Source organism: Homo sapiens, chromosome 3 (assembly GCF_000001405.40).
Source record: "Homo sapiens chromosome 3, GRCh38.p14 Primary Assembly".
Classification (NCBI taxonomy): Eukaryota; Metazoa; Chordata; class Mammalia; order Primates; family Hominidae; genus Homo; species Homo sapiens.
Window position 1 is genome coordinate 118,250,783 of NC_000003.12, and position 21,934 is coordinate 118,272,716.

The following is a 21,934-nucleotide window of genomic DNA, read 5'->3' on the forward strand; positions in this document are numbered from 1 at the left end:
TTATATCTGACCATTATAGTGTTTAGCTTCTCTTGCAAGTAAATTAAAATTGAGTAAACTCACTACATTTGCATATTTAGCTCAATCTAAGAATTCTCATGGCTTCTTTCTAATTCTTATATAGACACATTGCCTTGTGTATTTCTCAAGCTTTAAGATGAATGTACCCATTTATCTTGTCACTCTATTTCAACTGAAAAGTTTTTTAACTGATGTCAGTAAGAAAACTACTGCTATTTGTAAAAAGAATTTGAGCAAGGCAGTTTGGAAGCTAGGGATATGTTTCTCTTGCCCACTCTTCCCCTAAAAGAAAAATAGTAGCCTCCATTTTATGAAAAGGAAGTGTACAAAATGCTCGAAGATTCATAATGCAGATTTGAATAATGGGCCCTCAAGTGTGTGGCAGTGAGTGTGTGTGCACATTTAGGGTTGAGATGACATTAGACTGCTACAGATAGCCTGAAGCATAAAACTTACCTCCTTAAAAATCCCAAAGGCAGAAGTGATAGTTTTCTTGCATGGGCTCCCATGCAAGGGTTCCCTTAAGCAGAAGTTACAAGGTAGGAAGGGAAATGCTTGGATAGGGTTTCCTCAACTCCAGCCAGACAATTTACTCCTGTCCCTCACACCATGGATTCTGTGCTCATAATGCTTGTACTCACTGTAACCCAGTCCCATCTGTGGCTCCAAAGAGCATCTCAAGATGGTGAAGCCAGCTGGTTTGCCAGCTGCTGCATCCCCTGAAAAATGGTGGGAGATGTCCTCACTACCCCGAACCACTACTTCTGGGAGTTAGCATATGCATGAGAGAATATCCCAAATGCCACTCTTGTCTCTTGCCAAGGCTGTCCACAATTCTGCACTTCCAGGTTGTGTTCTTTTTAGAGAGCAAAGGGAATGTCAACACAATTGAAGGTGAAGTGACTCTGACTTGTGAAATTAAAGTGCCCAGCTTCATGTCAGGTTCACATGGGCAGAAGCATGCATTGAATGCAGAGCTTAGAAGCACAATACAACTGTGCTGTGCGTCCTTTTGATTGGTTATTTTTTAGGTTAATTCACACATGGTTCTATAGTCCTAACCCTTAGTTCACACTGTTGAAAGAATTGTTGAGGCCTCCAGCTGCCTGACCTTGAGCACATCACTTTACTTTTTAGAACTGCTGTTTCCTTCACTGTAAAATAAAGAGGAAAGGGCTGATTAGCTGATCTCTAATGACCCTCCACCACTCTCTTAGTAAGGGAACATATTTTGTACTGGTAGCAGAAATCCAACTACAGTGGCTGAACCAGCTTCAGAGGCTTATTTTTCTCACATAAAAATAAGTATGGGAGGTAGAGAGTGAAGGCTGCATAGAGGCTCTCCAATGCCAGCAGGGAGCAATACTCTAATATTTCTGCTCAGTGAGTAACTTTTGATTTTATGCTTTTCACTTGTGATTTCAAGAAGGCTGTTCTGTCTCCAGCAATTGCATCTAGATTGGAAGAAGGGCAAGACAGTGTCCAGAAAAGCATACTCCTTTGTTAAAAGCTTACCTAAAAGACCCATCCAAAAACTTATACCTAATCAGCCATAACTGTGTCACAGAGCCATCTATAGCTGTAATAGAGGTTAAAAATATGCATTTTTCACTGGGTACATTGTCACCCACGTAAGCATTGCATTCTCTTAATAAACGAGAAGGGGAGGATAGATATTGGGTACTCAACCTGAACAGAATATACTTTAATCTAAAATTCTATATTTTTGTCATTTTATGTTTTTGTGGAATGCATCTTTTAAATAACTGAGAACAAACACACATCATTTTTTAAAATTTTTGTGAAGAATCTCCATAACTTAGAGACTAGTTAGTCTGAACTAGGAAGAATGGTTTTAGAATGATGACTTCTTGACCCTCCTAAAGTTTGTTCCAGAATGTACCACACCGATACAGTTTGTATCTTTTCTGACCAGTTTTTTCTTACCCTTTCTCTCCTTTCTATACTTATTCACTCAACCTCTCTCTTTTCTTATCTCATCTTAGCAGAGTTATACTTTCCAGATAAAACTCTTTGTGGGAATTGTTTAATAACTTGCAAAACATGTAAGTATTTTAAATAACTTGTATCTAATAACATTCACATCCTCTAATTGGTTCTGTGTCCAGTTCAAGACATGCTCCTCAACCTATAACTACCTTTCCAAGAATAGCCTACTTAAATTCCTAATAGGTATAATTTCACTGTCTAATAATCAATTTTTTTCTCTATTCCATCATTTCAGGTAGATTTCCTTTCTGTGTTCTTTATTGCTGTGGAAGATTAAGTCATTAGATGCCACTCTGAATGCCCTTCCTGATTTAGAACTACTTACACAAGTCCTTTGCCATGTGACTTTGTGGTACTATCTTCTAGAATGGAAAGAGTTTATTTCCCTTCCCCAGTAATATGGAGTTTAGCCATGGTTTACGTAGGTGAAAGTGGAGGTGTTCCAGTTCTACATTAAGTCCTGAAAAAACCTCTCACATTTCCTTTTGCTCTCTTGAACTCCGGTCATTCACCAAGAAAATATTCCTAGATAGCCATTCAACCAAAGCAACACATGCAGATGGTCTGAAATTAACCTAAAATTAAGCCTGAAACCAAACTTAGCTAACTTCCTCCCTAAAACAGAGCTACTGCGGCTGACCCACAGAACTTCAAGCAATATAGAGCTTGTTTTAGGAAGCTACTGATATTTTGGGATGGTTTGTTACACTGCATTATTGTGGCATACCTGATTAATTCAATTGGCCTAGGGGAAATTTGCCTACTTCAGATGGCTAAAATTAGTGGTAATAAACGTTGGTGGGTGCTGGGTGGCAAATGGCCTCTAAACCCTGTGGTAATCCCAAAGTGATTCTCAAGATCTCTGTTAATTCCAGGGTTTATTCAAGAAATAACCACAATAAGGCAAGCAGGGAAAAGAGAGATCTTCACAACCTCAATCAGCCATAGAAAGGGAACCATTGCCCAGATTCTATTCACCTAACTGGTTTCATTTAAGTAATTTTCCAGATACTGTATCTGTCTTCCTGTTAGACGGGACTCCTATGCCTATTCAGCCAGCAAATTTAAGTATACAAATGTGGTATTTTTTTTTTTTTTTTCAGAAACTGTGAGAGGCCTTCAAAAAAGGTGACACAGAGATTTGAGGCATCGTAATAATGAATAATTCATCACACTACTTAGCTTCCCGAAAAGGGCAGTTGAGATCTCAGAAGGAAATTGGAGTTGCTCTCTTCTCCATAATTGACAAGTGCACCTTGGAAAAAACATAAGCATCTCTTTTATCAGCTTGGGTCCTGGATATACTTCTGGGCACACAACAGAAACATGACTTCAGCCCTGGCTGCTTGCCATTTATGGCAGAAGCCCCCTGGGAAGAGATGCATCTTCTATTCCAGTGTTGACCATCACGGCCCAAACAATAAGAGTCTGGAGAGAGTGGGGGAAGAGAAGTTTCCTCAGGAAGCCCAAACTGGCTGCCTGTGTTGGTGGCACGAGGGAGTCCTGAGAGACACCCTCCACTCCTTGTCGCTACACTTTCCATCTCTGAAATAAAATAAACTAGACAGCAGCTACATCTGGCCACCCTCAGAGGGGTAGCTGCTGCAGCTGGTTCATTTCCCACTTGGCTTTGCAGTTACATGGTGCCTACTCTGACGCCTAGTCAGCTGGCAGCCTTTCCTGAAAACTTTTTAGAATTCTATATTCTGTGTTCTAAACACTTGCTGTTATTTATAATCATCCAGTGACCAGTGGAAACTATAGCCGGGAAGTGTATGTGGTCCAGTAAACCCTCTGCAAGCATGAGCTCCCCTCAAATGAAATGTGTCTTGCCTGGGTAACAGGATGACTTGCTGCAAAGTACAGGTAGCTGGAGAGCCTATTGAGAAATTGCCTAATACTGTTTCTTAACATGGTAGGAAAAAAGCAAACATGGAGGAATCTTTTTTTTTCCCCACTAGTGGGAAGTCAACTTCTTTTGCTCTTAAGGTCGGACTGTTCTTCCATAAGAGCTAGGGGAACAATAATCAGCATCGTGTTTCTAGACAAAAGAGAAGTTGCTAAGTAAATGAGTCACTCAGATGATAAATAAGCTTTTGTCCATTGATGGTCTATGGGTCTACGGCCAGAGTTCACAAACTCAAAGCCTTTCAAGGAAGAGGCAGACATGGAAATGACCAATGCTGACCTGGTAAGGTAAATTATAGCTGACCCCTGGACTTTTGGGATACGGTAGGAAATGTTAGAGACTGGCAAGCTAGTGGGTTCATGTCCTGCCTAAAGGGGGTTGATGCCACTCAATTCCAGCTGCCTGTTGCCATAGCATTTGGGAATGCATTTGTTCTTCTTTTCTGGAACAAAAAGCAGCAGCACCCATGAACACAGAAAAAGCAGAGCTTCCTTCCTCTTCAGTATGGGGACTAAATAAGCCTCCCAGGATTCTTCTGTGATAGAAGCACTGCATAGAAAATCTCCACAAAATGATTAATGTTGGATTGTCCTAGGAGTTTGTGTTATTTGAGGACTGAACCAGAAGCTAATAATTACATCCAATAAATTATAGTGGCTTGTACTAGAATAGTGGAGAATATTATTACTAGTGAATTTTCAACAATAAAAATTGCTGTTCTAAGACATATGAATGGTTTGAGTTTTGAGTTGCTTCTACTGAAGATAATTACATAAATAAGAAATCAGGGAATGGGTAGAAAAAAGAATATAAAATGGGTGGCAGAAAAAAATACATTTTGCAATGATCTTCTAGGTAAAGTAAGGGAAGATAGGAGAGGGCAAATCTCTGTGTCCTATTTGTGTTCTGATGGTTGGTACATTTGTGTAAAAGGTATTTGTGTAAAAGGATAGGTGCTTAGTGAGAAGAGGAGACAGGGCTTACTAGCTACAAGTCACACAATCAGGTAGCTCTTTAATATTTGGTTGTAGTACCAGGTGAAGGATTAAAAAATGTTGTTTAACATATTAAAATTAAATATATGAATTAAGTCTATTGAGGAAAGTGATCCAAAAATATATTTATGAGGTAAAGAATCACAAATGGAAATTACAAGCACTTATGTATCATTCATAGTTTAAGATTTTTAGTGTTTTTAATTTGGGTTTTCTTTAGAGAACTATCTTAATTGATTTTTTTTGTACCAGCAGCTGTGGCAAACCACAGAAACCAAACTATACTGGATTTATTGGAAGATGATTTATTTGAATGATATTGGGTAGCTTACAAAATTATCAGGAATGCTATACAGCCAAGTTTAGAAAAGGAACAAAGAATAAATAAAAGTAAGATCTTACTTTAGAAGCCCTACCCCTGAACTTCACTCACTGCTAGGACACTCTCTGCTGGGACATAGGGCTCATGGTTCCATAGCAGAGGCCACACATAATCTCTACGCATGCCTTAATCTTTGTTTTACTTCCTCAATAGTCAAAGCGTGTGTGAGCAGCATCTAATTTGCGAAGTTTAGGGCAATTTTCTATATCATAGCTGCCTCAACCTTTGGATCCCATAGGGAAAGGTAGACTTCTAACAGGAATACTCCAATATAGGAAGAGTCTTTCAAAATGAGCTCATACACACCAATGTCAAATGCCTTTTACATTTATTAAATTGTATGTAGATTATGTAGTTTCTACTAGCTCTCTTGAGATGAGTTTTCTCATAAAAATTTATTTTATCGGTTGTAAATTTTTGTATGATTTAGGACTTTCTAATACCTATGTCAATGACAAGGGAAAGATTACCATACAATTGTATGAACCCAAGAGAAACTGTAAAGATGAAGTAAATCTGCCCAGTGACTGCTCTTTCTGTTCAGCTGAATTCAGGGCTAACGAGTCTGCATTACTAGCACCACTGTGGCAGAAGAAAGCAGGATAGGAAAGGAGAAGTTGAAAGAGAGAGAGAAGGAAAGAAACAGATATACAAAAGATCTTATCTCTATCTAAAGGAATAAACAAGATAAAATTACTTAAGAATATTAATAATATTTATGCCTTAAACTAAGCACATAAATCATGAGTTGTGTAGAGTATGTATTAATCAGAGTCACTCCTGGCATTTCAGCAAGGAATAAATCTAGAGGGGATAAATTTTGACCTAACTTGCACCCATTATTATTGACAGTCACTTATTCATTCACTTCATCAACAGATATACATGGACACCTACTTTACACAGAAGATCAAACAACTGAGAAAAACAAAGAACACTGATGAGCAAAATCAAGATAAGTAAAGAGAGGAATGATAGCTCATTAGGGACAAAAAATGTATTATAAAATTATATTTTAAAGTAGCCTCATGCTTCAGAAAAATTCAAGAGGCAGTGGTGAATGAACAAACTAATCCTAAAATTCTTATGGAAATGCAAGTGACTATAAAAACAATATTAAGAGAAAAAACATGTTAGAAGAATCCCAATTTCAACACTTGCTACAAAGCAACAGTAAACAAAAGAGTATAATACTGGCATGGGAAAGACATATAGACCAATGGAATAAAATGGAAAATCCAGAAATAAACCCATACTTCTATGGTCAATTGACTTTCAGCAGAGATAACAAAACAATTGAATGAGTAGACTAGTCTTTTCAATAAACAGAGCTGAGAAAACCAGACATTCACATGCAAAATAGATAATTTGAACTTCTAGCTTGTATTTTATACCAACCTTAACCCAAGATAGATCAAAGACCTAAACTGAAGAGCTAAAACTTAGAAGAAAACAGGCGTAAGTCTACATGACCTTGGATTAGACCTGTTGCTTAGATATGATACCAAAAGCACAAACAATCAATGACAAAATAGATAAATTGAACCACATCAAAATGAAAACCTTTTGTGCATAAAAATACACTAAAAAGAAAGTGAAAAGATAACCCACAAAATGGGACAAAATATTTGCAAAGCATATATCAGTAAGTGTCTAGTATCCAGAATATATAAAGTCTTACAACTTAAAGAATCAAAAGCAAATAATACACTAAACAACAAGCAAAGAATTTGAATAGACATTTCTTCAAAGATATACAAATGGCAACTAGGCACATAGATATTCATCAGCATTCATCATTTGCAAAGTGCAAATCAAAACCACAATGAGATATCACTACACAATCACAAAGATGTCTACAATAAAAAAAAAAAAAAGCAGAAAACAAGTTGGGGGGAGGATGTGCAGAGGTTGGATCCTTCATACACTTTTGGTAGGAATGTAAGACGATAAAGCCACTGTAAAAATATTTTGGTAGTTCATTTGAAAGTTAAGCAAATTTACCATGTTACCCAGCTGATATGGTTTGGCAGTATCCCCACCCAAATATCATCTTGAATTTCCATGTGTTCTGAGAGGCACCTGGTGGGAGGTATTTGAATCACGGGGGCAGGTCTTTCCTGTGCTGTTCTCATGATAGTGAGTAAGTCTCATGAGATCTGATGGTTATTTTAAGGGGGAGTTTTTCTACACAAGCTCTTTTTATCCACCTCCATCCATGTAAGATGTGGCTTGCTCCTCCTTGCCTTCCACCATGATTGTGAGGCTTCCCCACCTATGGGGAAATGTGAGTTCTCCATTAAACCTCCTTTTATTGTAAATTGCCCAGTCTTGGGCATGTCTTTATCAGCAGCATGAAAACGGACTAATACAGTTAATTGATACCAGAAGTGGGCTGTTGCTGAAAAGACACCTGAAAATGTGGAAGTGACTTTGGAACTGGACAACAGGCAGAGGTTGGAACAGATTGGAGGGCTCAGAAGAAGATAGGAAAATGTGGGAAAGTATGGAACTTCCTAGACACTTGTTGAATGGCTTTGACAAAAATGCTGATAGTGATATGAACAATAAGGATCAGGCAGAGTTGGTCTCAGATGGAGATGAGGAACTTATTGGGAACTGTAGCAAAGGTGACACTTGTTGTGTTTTTGCAAAGAGACTGGTAGCATTTTGCCCCTGCCCTAGAGATCTGTGGAACTTTGAACTTGAGGTAGATGATTTAGGGCACCTAGAGGAAGAAATTTTCAAGCACCAAAGCATTCAAGAGGTGACCTGGGTGCTGTTAAAGGCATTCCATTTTATAAGGCAAGCAGAGCATAAAAGGAAAGTTTGCAACCTGCCAATGCGATAGAAAAGAAAATCTCATTTTCTGAGGAGAAATTCAAGCCAGCTGCAGAAATTTGCATAAGTAGTGAGGAATGCTAATCCCCAAGACAATGGGAAAATGTCTCCAGGGCATGTCAGAGGTTTTCACAGCAGCACCTCCCATCACAGGCCTGGGGGCCTAGAAGGAAAACATGCCTTTGTGGGTCAGGTCCAGGGTCCTCATGCTGTGTGTATCCTAGGGACATGGTGCCCTGCATCTCAGCTGCTCCAGCCATGGCTGAAAGGAGTCAATGTAAAGCTCAGGCCATGGCTTCAGAAGGTACAAACCCCAAGCCTTGGCAGCTTTCACGTGGTATTGAGCCTTTGAGTGCATGGAAGTCAAGAACTGGGGTTTGGGGACCTCTGCCTAGATTTCAGAAAATGTATGGAAATGCCTGGAAGTCCAGGCAGAAGTTTGCTACAGGGGCAGGGCCTTCATGGAGAACCTCTGCTAGGCCAGTGCAGAAGGGAAATGTGGGGTCAGAGCCTCTACACAGAGTCCCTACTGTGGCACTGCCTAGTGGAACTGTGAGAAGAGGGTCACCATCCTCCAGACCCCAGAATGGTAGATCCACTGACAGCTTGCACCATGTGCCTGGAAAAGTCACAGACATTCAACCCTAGCCCATGAAAGCAGTCAGGAAGAGGCGATACCCTGCAAAGCCACAGGGGCGGAACTGCCCAAGACCATGGGAACCAACTACCTCTTGCATCAGTGTGACTTGGATGTGAGACATGGATTCAAAGGAGATCATTTTGGAGCTTTAAGAGTTGACTGCTCTGCTAGATTTTGGACTTACATGGGGCCTCTATCCCCTTTGTTTTGGCCAATGTCTCTCATTTGGAATGGCTTTATGCAATACCTGTACCTCTACTGTATGTAGGAAGTAACTAACTTGCTTTTGATTTTACAGGCTCATAGGTGGAAGGGACTTGCCTTTATCAGATGGGACTTTGGACTGTGGACATTTAGGTTAATGCTGAAATGAGTTAAGACTTTGGGGGACTATGCGAAGGCATGATTAGTTTTGAAATGTGAGGACATGAGATGTGGGAGGGGCACAGGGTGGAATGATATGATTTTGCTGTGTCCCCAACCAAATCTCATCTTGAATTCCCACGTGTTGTAGGAGGGACCCAGTGGGAGGTATTTGAATCAGGGGGGTGGGTCTTACCTATGCTTTTCTTGTGATAGTAAGTCTCATTAGATCTGATGGTTATTATAAGGGTGGGGGGACGGGTTCCTGCACAACCTCTCTTTATCTGCTACCATCCATCAATGTAAGATGAGACTTGCTCCTCCTTGCATTTTGTCATGATTGTGAGGCTTCCCCAGCCATGTGCAATGCGAGTTCTCCATTAAACCTCTTTCCTTTGCAAATTGTCCGGTCTCGGGTATGTCTTTATCAGTAGTGTGAACATGGACTAATATACCAGCAATTCACTTTTAAATATAAATGTATGAAATTGAAAGCACATTTAAAAAACAATTGTACAAAAATGTTCCTAGTAGCATTATTCAAAATAGCCTAAAATTAGAAACAACCAATTTCTATCTGCTGATGAATGGGTAAATAAAATGTAGTATGTCTATACAATGGAATATTAGCCACATAAAAAGGAAAGGAATGAAGAATTGATACATGCTACAACATGGATGAACCCTGAAAATATTGTTGTAAGTAGAGGAAAACAGACACAAAAAGCCACATATTATATGATTTCATTTACACAAAATGTCTACATTAGGCAAATCCACCAGAATGAAAAATAGTAGGGAAAGGGAGGTATTGGAACTGACTGCTAATAGGTACAGATATAGTGGTGATGATTATACAACATAATCAATACACAAAAATACTCCATTAAATTGTATACTTTTAAATAGTGAATTTTATGTTATGTGAATTATATTTTAATTTTTAAAAAGAGGTCATTGTAGCCATAAAACAAGAATAGGCTGCTATATAAACAGTATTTAGAAAGTAAGAAACTGTTCTTAGAAATTAAAAACATAATTAACAAAATAAAATTTCAAATGAAATAGATTGACAAATTAATACATCAAAATCAGCTTAAGACCAATTTACTAACACAAAAGATAAATTTAAAACTGTAACATATATATCAAAAGAGCTGAAAATATGAAATATATATTAGAAATGTCAAGAATAGTTTAAAAAGACATATTAACCAAATACATTGTGTTTCAAGCTGCAGATATAGCCCATTAGTAAGTCATTGCAATGGACTGAATTGTGTTTCCTAAAAATTCATATTTTGAAAATCTTAACCCCTAATAGGTTTGTATTTAGAAATGGGGCTTTTGAGAGCTAATTAGGTCATGAGGGTGGAGCTCCTACAATAGCATTAGTGCCCTTATAAGAAGAGACACAAGAGTGCTCTCTCAACTATGTGAGGATATATCAAGAAAGTGGCTATCTGCAAGCCAAGAAGAGGGCCCTTACCAGAAACGGGGTTACTGGTACCCAGATGATGGTACTTTCCAGCCTCTAGAACTATGAGAAATAAACTTATTTTGTTTAAGCCACCCAGTCTTTGCTAATTTTTTATAGTAGCCCAAGCAAACTAATATGGTCATGATACCAAATTAGTGCTCTATAACCAGCATTTTTAAAAATAAAATAAAATGAAAAGGAACAGACCAGAATACAGAACATTTGGTAATATACATGTACATATTTGATAGCATACAATTCTTTAGATTGTGTTCAAATGTTTGAGTCAATTATGATCTATTGGAATATCAATCAGGTAGAGATGATAACAATACAGGGTGCAGCTCAGAAAAATAATGAGATAATTTTCCCCATATTGAAGAAAGGCACTAAATCTGTTAGTTTGAAGAACCAATCACATACTTAACAGAACAAATGAAAACACCCATATCCAGGTGAAATTTTATGCTTTCAATGAAAATTATAAAGATTCAACAACTTAAGGAGCAGAGAATAATGCAGTGCCATCCTCAACCTTCTCTAGGAGAAAAGAGTCACAATCAAAACTTTATGCCTAAAAAATATCAATCAAGCAGGAGAGAAAAATTAGGGCACTTAGTGACAGTCAAGAACTTAGAAAGTCTACAACTCACATATTCTATGAATAAATGAAATTACACAATAAGGTAATCCAAGAAAATGAAAAAAGAATATGTGATCCAAGAATGAGGATGGTCTAGGATGTATATTTAAGTATCACGCAAAAGAAGGGAAGAAAGCTTAAAAGTATAGAAAAGGGAATCATTTAAAATGAGATGCTTAGAAAATTCCCCTATCATAGTTTAAATGACTGACACTGAGTAACAATTCCTTCTCTGAGTAGCACACACTTCTTGGTCCCACAGTGAATAATATGTATGTAATTATAATACTGTGAATTGTGTGCAGTGAGTTTCAGTATGTGATATCAACTGATAAAGTATGAAAGACATAGGTATATAAAGCTGATAAATATTAAGATAAATCTTAATGAAAATATAGCATAGAGAAAAGATGACATAGACAAAAGAATAATTATGGAAAAGTGATAAATGCTTTAATTCTCTCATTTCATATCAGGAAATAAACAGAAACTGTCTAACGCCAATAGACCTAAAAATTTATGGGGCTGAAGTCATAAACACAACAAATAAACTGAAAATAATAGTATGAACACAAAAAGTGGAGACAGCATGAATATTTTATCAATGAGCTATTTACCAAAGGAGTGATCTACCAAAGGAGATATTTACCAATAGCTCATTTCATAGCCCATTTAAGGGATAATATGGCTGTGTTTGTAACTGTAGGGCAGTTCTCTGAAGGAGTATGTAGTTGATGAATTATAATGATGGCCTCAACTAATGTGACCTACCTGTATCCAAGCCATGTGCCCTGTAAGTTAGTAGTCCTTTTCTATTCTGACTCTGGGCTTAGATAAGTCATTTGCTTTTGGTCACTCGTTTCATAGTAGAGTGAATGCAAGAAGAGGCTTGAAAATGCATGTCGTATTTCCCTTCCCGCTCTTGTTTCCTTTAATTGCCTTAAGAACATGCCCTGACTAGCTTGCTTCTGCTGGATAAAATACATACTACCAATTCCAACTTACTACCTGAGGGTTCTTTCTTGTCTTCTTTTTTTCTATGTGTATAAATCCCTTCTCTGTCAGTAAGTGCTTAATCCTCCTGTCAGTAACCAATCTCTGGACCACGCTGGACACCTCAGCAGCCCTTGGCCCTGCAGCTTCCCAGCACCACCATCTCCTCAGATCCCAGCAGGGCTGCTTCTTGGCCCTTGGCCCTGCCACTAGTTCCTTGGGTGTGACTAATACCCCTTCATCCCCCACACCCCACATGCCATCTCCTCACCTCCACAAGCCACACTGCTGCCTCCTAAAGCAGGAAACAAAAAAGAAGAGAAAGAGAAACTTCAACGAACATTTCTATTTCAAATAATTTATCTGTTAAAATCGTAATTCAAAAAAGATGCTCATTTCACTATTCACTTATTAGAGGTAACAAGAGAGAGGAAGGATTTCTTAATCTTATAACAACACTCTACTTTGAATGTCATCGTTTTTGGAGATATTCATCTACTGGGATCGTATTTAATATCTTCTGCCTGATATGCATAAAACTGAATTCAGGTACTAGTATGAAATGTTCTGCAGTAATACCATAAAGCATAACTATTTGCTGAATATCTACTACATTTCAGTATACAAGGAGTCTTTAAGCCAATAAAATACCATTCCACAACCAACAGATGAGCAAATTTAAAAAGTTCGACAATGTTAAGTACTGACAAGACTATGAAGAAAAAGGAACTCTCATATCCTGCTGACATAAAATAAATCAGTATGTTTTGGAGAATGTTTTGAAAATATCTAGTACATTTGAAGATGAACTTGTTCTTTGACTGTAAACCTTTACTTTGAGGATTAATTCTTAGAGAAAATTTGCAGATTTTCACAGAGAGACATGAAAAACTAGTTCATTACAGCCTTGATACAGATAGGAAAAATTGGGAATGGCATAAATGTTCATCATCAAGATAACAAACAAATGCAGTATATACATCAAATTTCATAGGATATATTCATGAAAATTAATGAACTGGAACTACTGATATCTAGGTTGATACCTAGATAAAAATTTAAAACATAATATGGAGGAAAAAAAGAATAATGCAGTATGATACAATCACAATGATAAATTCTTTGCATAAAATATATAAATATGCTAAATAATGCTGCATATTTTTTAAGATATATACATCTATAATAATAAATATATATACAGGCATGGAGGTGATAAATACCAAATTCAACAAAATGATTACCTCTGAATAGAGTGGAGTCTTCAACCATATCTGAATTATTTTATATTTTAAAAATATAAAGTGAACATAGTTAAAAATTGATAAAGTTATATAATAAACACATACTATTTATGACATTTTTCCATAAAACTTTCTATATGATTACACAACCACAGGTACCTATATATCTCAAGGAGGTTCAAACTTGTTGGAATGGTAGAATGTCTGGCAAAGGATGCCTATAAATAAATGAGACTCTTTTTGCAGTCCACATAGTATTGCACAAAACAAATAAGTCTCTACTCTTATAAGGTTAACAGTATATTAGTAGAGGCAAATATTAAGCAAATAAATACATAAATACATAATGAACACTTATAATAAGTGCTATGAAGTACTGATGTCATTTATCAGAGGTGAGAAACTGAGGAAGTGATGTAGTCAACGGTGTCTTCTCTGAAAGTAAAATATGTAAGCTGAGGGTTAAAAGATGAATGCAAATTAACCAAAAGAAAAGAAAGATGAAGATTCTTCCAGTTACAGGTAATATCAGGTGTAAAATCCCTGATGCTGTGAACAGATTGTCAATTTCAAGAAAGGGAAAGGACATTGTATTGCTGAGCAAAGTGAATAAAAAGTGGAAGTTGTAACAGGCAGGGCAGATACCAGATCATGTAGGGCCTTTCAGGCCATGATAAGAAATTTAGATTTTATGGAAGGAACAATGGAAAGCCATTGAAGGAGCTTAGGAAGGAATGTGCTGTGATCCTACTTATATATTTAGAAGGTCATTTTGCTGCTAGGTGGAGAATTGATCTAACAGGTTGAAGACCTTCAAAACAATAGTTTCAAACCAGCATACTCCAGCAAATATTGGGTATAATTGCTCACAAATTATTGTAGACTAATGACGTCTCTGGAAACATAGTACATTGGTAAGCATTGAATTCAGGTTTCAGCTGCATCATGTATTAGCTCTATAATCTTGAACAATGATAATCATCACAGACACTTACTGAATTAAACTGGCAACCTTACTTTGATTGCTAAAAAAAGTGAAAACAAAAAGCCAAGAATACAAAAAATTATATAATTTAACTCCTCTCCACTTCCACATTTTGAATTTTTGATATTACAATTTACAGCTTTTTGATTGCATATTCCATAACCAGTTATAGTTATTATTTTAATAGTTTTGTCTTTTCATTTTCATACTAAAGACATGAGGTTTATATTCTATGATTACATTATTAGGGTATTATGAATTTGATTATATACTTAATTTTGCCAGTGAGTTTTATACCTTCAGATGTTTTTATATTATTCATTATTGTCCTTTTCCTTCTGTTTGAAAATCTCTTTTTAGCATTTCTTGTAAGACAGATCTGGTAGTGATAAACTTCCTCAGCTTTTGTTTGTCTGGGGAAGTATTTGTCTCTCTTTCATTTTGAACACTATCTTTGCTGGGTACAGTATTCTTGATTGGCTGTTTGTTTTTTTCCTTCAGTACTTTTAATACATCATCCCACTTCTTCCTGGCCTTCTTAGCTAAGAAGTCTGCAGCCAGGTGTATTGGAATCTCATATGTTATTTGCTTTCTTTCACTTGCTGCTTTTATAAATCTCTCCATATTTTTGACCTTTGAGAGTTTTATTATCATATGTCTTGGGATAGTTTTACAAGAATTGAATCTGATTGTTCACGCTCGCTGTTGCATTTTTTATTTTATTCCTTCTACTTTTTAGCTCTATGATTTCTGTTTAATTATTTTTTATTATTTCAATCTTTCTGTTAAATTTATCTGACAATTTCTAAAGTGCTTCTGTGCATTTTCTTGAAGATCACTGAGCTTTTTTGAAACAATTGTTTTGAATCTTTAATCAGGAAAATCACACATCTCTGTCTCTTTAGAGTCAAGTCACTGGCACCTTGATTTGACTTTTTGGTGATGTCATGTTTCCCTAATTGTTCTTGATTTTTGTGGTTATCAGTGTCTGAACACTGAATATGTAAGTATTTATTCCAGTCTTCATAGTCTCACTTTGTGACAATCCTCACACAGTATACCTGTACAAAAATTCTTACTGACCAGACTGCTGTTTTGATCTCTTAGCACATGACCACTGTATCTATTGTAGCAATAGAGGGTAGCCTAAGCCCAGTTCTGTAGAGGCTGGCACCAAGGCTTATGAATTGGCTGCTGTGCACTCAACCCCTATTCTTTGTTTCTAATTGACCCATGTTGGGCTAGTCCTATTCGCACTTGCAATGCCTCCCATGGGAAAGGACTGGAGAGATCCTCCTGCATAAAAGTCTCAGAATGGTGGGAAAGCTGAATGCCCACCTCTACTTCACTTTTTTCACTGTAGAAACTGTACATACAGAGGACTTTTCTGCTTGTGGTGCTGTGTAAGTTTGGGGGTGTGGCCATTGTGGTCACAGAGCACATTTCATTTCTCTTATCACTTCACTATGTTTTTTCTCAGCTCTGTGGTCCAATGGAATGACACACTTTTGCTCCCAACTTCTGGGATATTCAGGTGGTAACCTTGCCACTAGATAATTGCCAGTTGAAATTCTGTAGGAGTGCAGTGGAGAGAAGCTGGAGAACTTTTTCTCTGTCATTTTGCTGTCATCACTCCTCACTGATGATGTGTTGTTGCCATGGTGATTCTGCTCAGTACAATGGGAACCACAGGATTAAACACTGTTGTACATGCTTGGCTTCATATCAAGTGTCTGGTTGTATAAATAAATTTCTTGTTTAAAATTTAAAAAATAAAAGTTAATAACACTGAATCAAGTTTCTCTAACTGTAAAATGTGTTGACTGGACTGAAGATGACAAAGGTGGGGTTTTGGTCATTGGACAGTTCTAAATCTCCATGGGAGCTTGAGAACTGCTCATGCCTCCTGAGAGTCTTTGTATTAAATTCTTTTTGTATACTAGATACTATGCTAAAAAGTTTTATATTTATTATCTTATTGAATTATCAGAACAACCCTATGGAGTTAGGTATTATTATATTTTGTCCATTACATACACATTAAGAAAATTGAGACTTACAAGGTTTGTTAAATTATTCATGCCACATAATTAAGTAAGCAGTGAAGTCAGGGTTTGAACTCATGTAATTTTGAAACTTCATGATCTGCTGTGTTATTTCATGTATGAACTAGATATAAAGAGAACAGTTCATTGAATTGACAAGATTAAATGAAATAACTTATGCAATGTTGCAAGTCCCATATTAGTATGAGATTGCTATTTTTACATTTATCTTAAAAGAATAATATAAACTTATAACCTTACTTTTTTAAAGCAATGTTTTAAAATTTTCAAGGTACTTTAGGTGCTCATGAATTACATAATTTGGTAAGTTTAGAAAAGTTGAGAACAATTAATGTGATGCACAAATGAATCATTCCCACTTGCCTAAAGTTATAACTTTTCATTGACATCATTGCTCAGAAATCAGTCATCAACAATCATATCTGGAAAACACAAAATACAAATGAGGAACTGGTGACTGTTTTGGCAGTTTTTAACTGGAGAGCCAAAACAGTAGAGCTGGAAGGAACTGGATCAACTGGGTAGCTGACAAAACGGAGATCTAGAAAGATAAACATAGGGCGAATGAATAGATATTTTCTTACTTTAATCCTCTGACTGTTTTATAGTATATCGCAAATTGATTTTCTTATGAAACAGAGGTAGTAGGGTCAACCACCAAAATGCTGGCAGAACAAATTGTGGTAACAATCCTCATAATCCTTCTACCTGATCTTTCTATAGCAAGGATAGCAACAAAGTTGTATCACTTCTAAAAAGATGCTACCTACTCTCATATACATATAACACTTTATGAATTATGGAGTACCTCAGAAAACATTTTGCAGCTTAATAATGATGAAACAATAATTATCATTATTTAATGAGCACTAAAATCATAATAAATTTTGACTATATCTTGGTGCACTATATTCTTTCTACACAACAGAAATTAAAAGTATTGTATCAATAAGTCTAATACTGAGTATAATTGCAACTCTATTTCCTAGACCATTCATTTCTAAGTGCAAATCTTAAGGTTTCAAGACAGTCAGAAAATGTAAGTAAACTTATTTTCTATTCTGCATTCTCACAATTGCCTTATTTCTCCATTTTACCTCATATGTGAAAAGACAAGAAGTATATGAGAAGAACAATTGTCTCTAATTAGCAAAACACTTGGAACTGTAGATTGAAAAAGAATGTGTGGAGATAAGTTCAGCCTTAGGTGGGAAAGTAAAACATATCCCAACCCCACCTATGCCTCTTGCCAGATAGGTGTGAGAAATCAAAAACAAGAGAGACACAGAGAGAGAGAAAGAAACAGACAGACAGATGGAGATTGCTCCTTTTTTTTTTTTTTACCTCAATAACAACAAAAAGCAACAGAAAGAGACAGTGGAATGGAGAGATGGGGAGGAAACATAGGCTTTTGCATCAAATACAATTTCTGTCACATCTCATTTTTTTCTATCTGGTGACCTTAGCTAAGTCACTTAACTCCTCGAGTCTCAGTTATTACCATGTTTAAAAAATAATATGAAAATAGGTACCTCATGGTTTTTCTGAGGATGAAATGAGACAATGTGTATATAGGGTCTATAGCAGTGCCTGGAACATAGTAGTAACTCAACAAATGGTACTTATTATTTTTATAATATTACCATTACTAGAAGTCTCTGAAGCCACAAAACACTACTTTTTAGCCTCTTGGTACTTCCAAACTTCCCTGTTCATAGAGTATAATGCAATAAAAAATGTTCAATGCTTAATAAATTATTGAACAATTCGACATTTTTTTTTCAGTAGTTTCAGCAGTTCAGCATGCAGTGAGAAAGGAGATACGGCTTTGCCATCATGCATGGTTATATAAAATAATGTAGCCTTCCCCAGGCTCCCAAAGAGAAGGTAGGTACCCTGGACACGCTTACTAGGAACACTTTTGACATCTATCATACAAAAAATTAGGAAAGATTTTGTCTACCAACACCCCAGCCTGGGATATGGGATTTTTCTCTTTTTATTTATCTGTGGTAACTACTTCCATAACATTCAATGTGATGTGCACTATGGTAATTTTTATATTGTGCAAAATTTGTACTCACAGTGTAAACTCTGTAATCACAATTGTGTAAGCTCTTTGAGGAAAAGAACGCTTCCTATTGAGAGGTGACAGCGTGCTGGCAGCCCTCTACAGCCCTTGCTCGCTCTCGGAGCCTCCTCGGCCTCCCGGCGTCCACTCTGGCCGCGCTTGAGGAGCCCTTCAGCCCGCCGCTGCACTGTGGGAGGCCTTCTCTGGGCTGGCCGAGGCCGGAGCCGGCTCCCTCGGCTTGCGGGGAGGTGTGGAGGGAGAGGCACTGCCTGGAACTGGGGCTGCGCGCGGCACTTGCAGGCCAGCTAGAGTTCCCGGTGGGCGTGGGCTTGGCGGGCTCTGCACTCGGAGCGACAGGCCGGCCCTGCCTGCCAGGCCAGCAGCTGCGGAGGGTGCGCTGGGGCCCCCAGCAGTGCTGGCCCACTGGCGCTGCACTCGATTTCTCACCCAGCTTTAGCTGCCTCCCCGAGGGGCAGGGCTCGGGACCTGCAGCCCGCCATACCTGAGTCCACCCCTGCGACATCCCGCCCTGGGCTCCTGCGTAGCCTGAGCCTCCCAGACGAGCACTGCCCCCTGCTCCATGGCGCCCAGTCCCATCAACCGCCCAAGGGCTGAGGAGTGCGGGTGCACGGTGCAGGACTGGCAGGCAGCTCCACCTGCCACCCTGTTGGGACATCCACTGGGTGAAGCCAGATGAGCTCCTGAATCTAATGGGGACTTGGAAAACCTTTATGTCTAGCTAAGGGATTGTAAACACACCAATCAGCACCCTGTGTCTAGCTCAGGGTTTGTGAATGCATCAATTGGCACTCTGTTATCTAACTAATCTGGTGGGGACTTGGAGAATCTTTATGTCTAGCTAAGGGATTGTGAATGCACCAATCGGCACTTCGTATCTAGCTCAGGGATTTTTTTAAATGCACCAATCAGCACCCTGTCAAAACGGACCAATCAGCTCTCTGTAAAACAGACCAATCAGCTCTCTGTAAAATGGACCAATCAGCAGGATGTGGGTGGGGCCAGATAAGAGAATAAAAGCTGGCTGCCTGAGCCAGCAGTGGCAACCTGCTGAGTTTACATTCTGCAGTGGGGTTGCTTTGTTCTTTTGCTCTTTGCAATAATTCTTGCTACTGCTCACTCTTTGGGTTCGTACTGTCTTTATGAGCTGTAACACTCACTGAGAAGGTCTGCAGCTTCACTCGTGAAGCCAGTGAGACCATGAACCCACCGGGAGGAACGAACAGCTCCAGACGCGCTGCCTTAAGAGTTGTAACACTCACCGCGAAGGTCTGCAGCTTCACTCCGGAGCCAGCGAGACCATGAACCCACCAGAAGGAAGAAACTCGGAACACATCTGAACTTCAGAGGGAACAAACTCTGGACACGCCACCTTTAAGAACTGTAACACTCACTGCGAGGGTCTGTGGCTTCATTCTTGAAGTCAGACCAAGAACCCACCAATTCCGGACATGCTATTTGCCTCTGTATTTCTAGAATATGAATAAAGCCAACACATAGTAAATACTCACATGGATGGGTGCATTTCTCTAAGATAATAATTACTCAAAATTTGCCATGTATCATACTAAATACTTTATACAGATTATCTCCTTTAATTCTGATGAGATCCCTGTGAGCTTTTTACAGATGAGAAAACCGAAGTAACTTGTTCAAGGATTTACAGTTACTAAATTTTCCAGCCAAAGTCAGGATGTTAGATTCCAAGCCCAGACTGCTGGCCATGACTGTAACCATGCCTCTTCCCTTTGGGGCTTGTGTATTGTCCCTTTGAAGATGGTCTACCCTGCCCTGAAGTTAGTGCCTCCTCTGTTACTCCAATAATTACGTCCTGTGCATTTCCTTCAGAGCATTTATCCTAATTTGTAATTACATATTCATTCACATACGTATTTTGCTTGTTTCCCCAACAAATTGCGATCCCCTAAATGGTAGGGTTAACCCGTTTTATTTGCTAATCTATACCTAGCACCTCATAAGCTGTTTGGTGCATGGTAAGTGCTTGAGAAACATGTGAAAATGAGAGGAAGAATCAATGCAGAAATAAGTACATGAAGGTCAAAGAAACTATTTGTTTCTTAACAAGAACTGTGACTATTCATCCTAGTTTCTCTGGCATCTGGCATAATGCTTGATAGAGTAGGAACTTAATACATGTTTGTTGAGTGAATTAATGTCTATAGATAAGTAGGTTATATGGAAATAGATTCTTATTCCTATATGTAAGCCATTATATGCTTTTTCTCATTAATCCCACAATTAACAAGCAAAGCATGAATTGTGATCACAGAGTTCCCTTCTACTAGGGAAAGATGTTAAACAAAATTGGAAATCATTTTGAGCATTTTAGTTTCTCCCATACTTCCTGCCCCTACCTTCTAATTTTGTTTTTAAATCCACTTTCTTCCTTCCTAGTTAAGTTCATTTGTAAACTCTGCTAAAGCCATAATGCCTCTGTCTTTCTCTCCCTGATCTCCTTCATGGAGACCTGTGGCCTCAAAGTAAGGTCTTACTCCCTTCCAAGACCTACAGAGTTAGGCAAGTGGGAGCAACAATGTCTTTTCACAAGCCCTCTCCTGGAACCCTAGGTTCTCAAACTTAGTATCTATCTGAGAGGTTGTAATACAGATTCCTGGGCTCCACCCTCAGAGTTTCTGGTTTAGTTGGCCTAGGGGGGTTGGGGGCTGAGAATCTGCATTTCTAACAAGTTCCCAGGTGATGTTAATATTGATGCTGCTGACCTGGGATTATATGTTGGGAACCAACAATATAGGGTGTAGATATAAGTCTAGAGTTCTCAAACCTAACCATATATTTGAATCACTTGAGAATTCAATGTCTGGGCTGCATTCCAGAACAACTAAATCAAATGTCTGGGTATCGATCTATTTTCAAGTTTCTCAGGTGTTCTAATGTATAGCCCAAGTTCGAGAATCACTGTAGTTCAGCGCTTCTCCAACTTAATGTTCATGCTATTGACTAAGAAATGTGGTGGGCCCCTTGCTCATAAAATGTGGTCAGCAGAGCGGCAGCTTGGAGATCTCCTGGGGCTTATTAGAAATGTAGTGCTCTGGCCCCACATCATATTCTCGCTTTTGAATTTATATTTTAACAATACCCTGTGATAATTCTCAAGCATACTAGAATTTAAGAAGAATCAGAGACCATGAAAGATATAAAATCTATTAGAAAAGAATAAACAGAATCCCAGATTCACCACTTAGGGTCAGGTAGAAAGTAGTCCTTCAGGGTCTCTGAACTCTGATTTGGTGG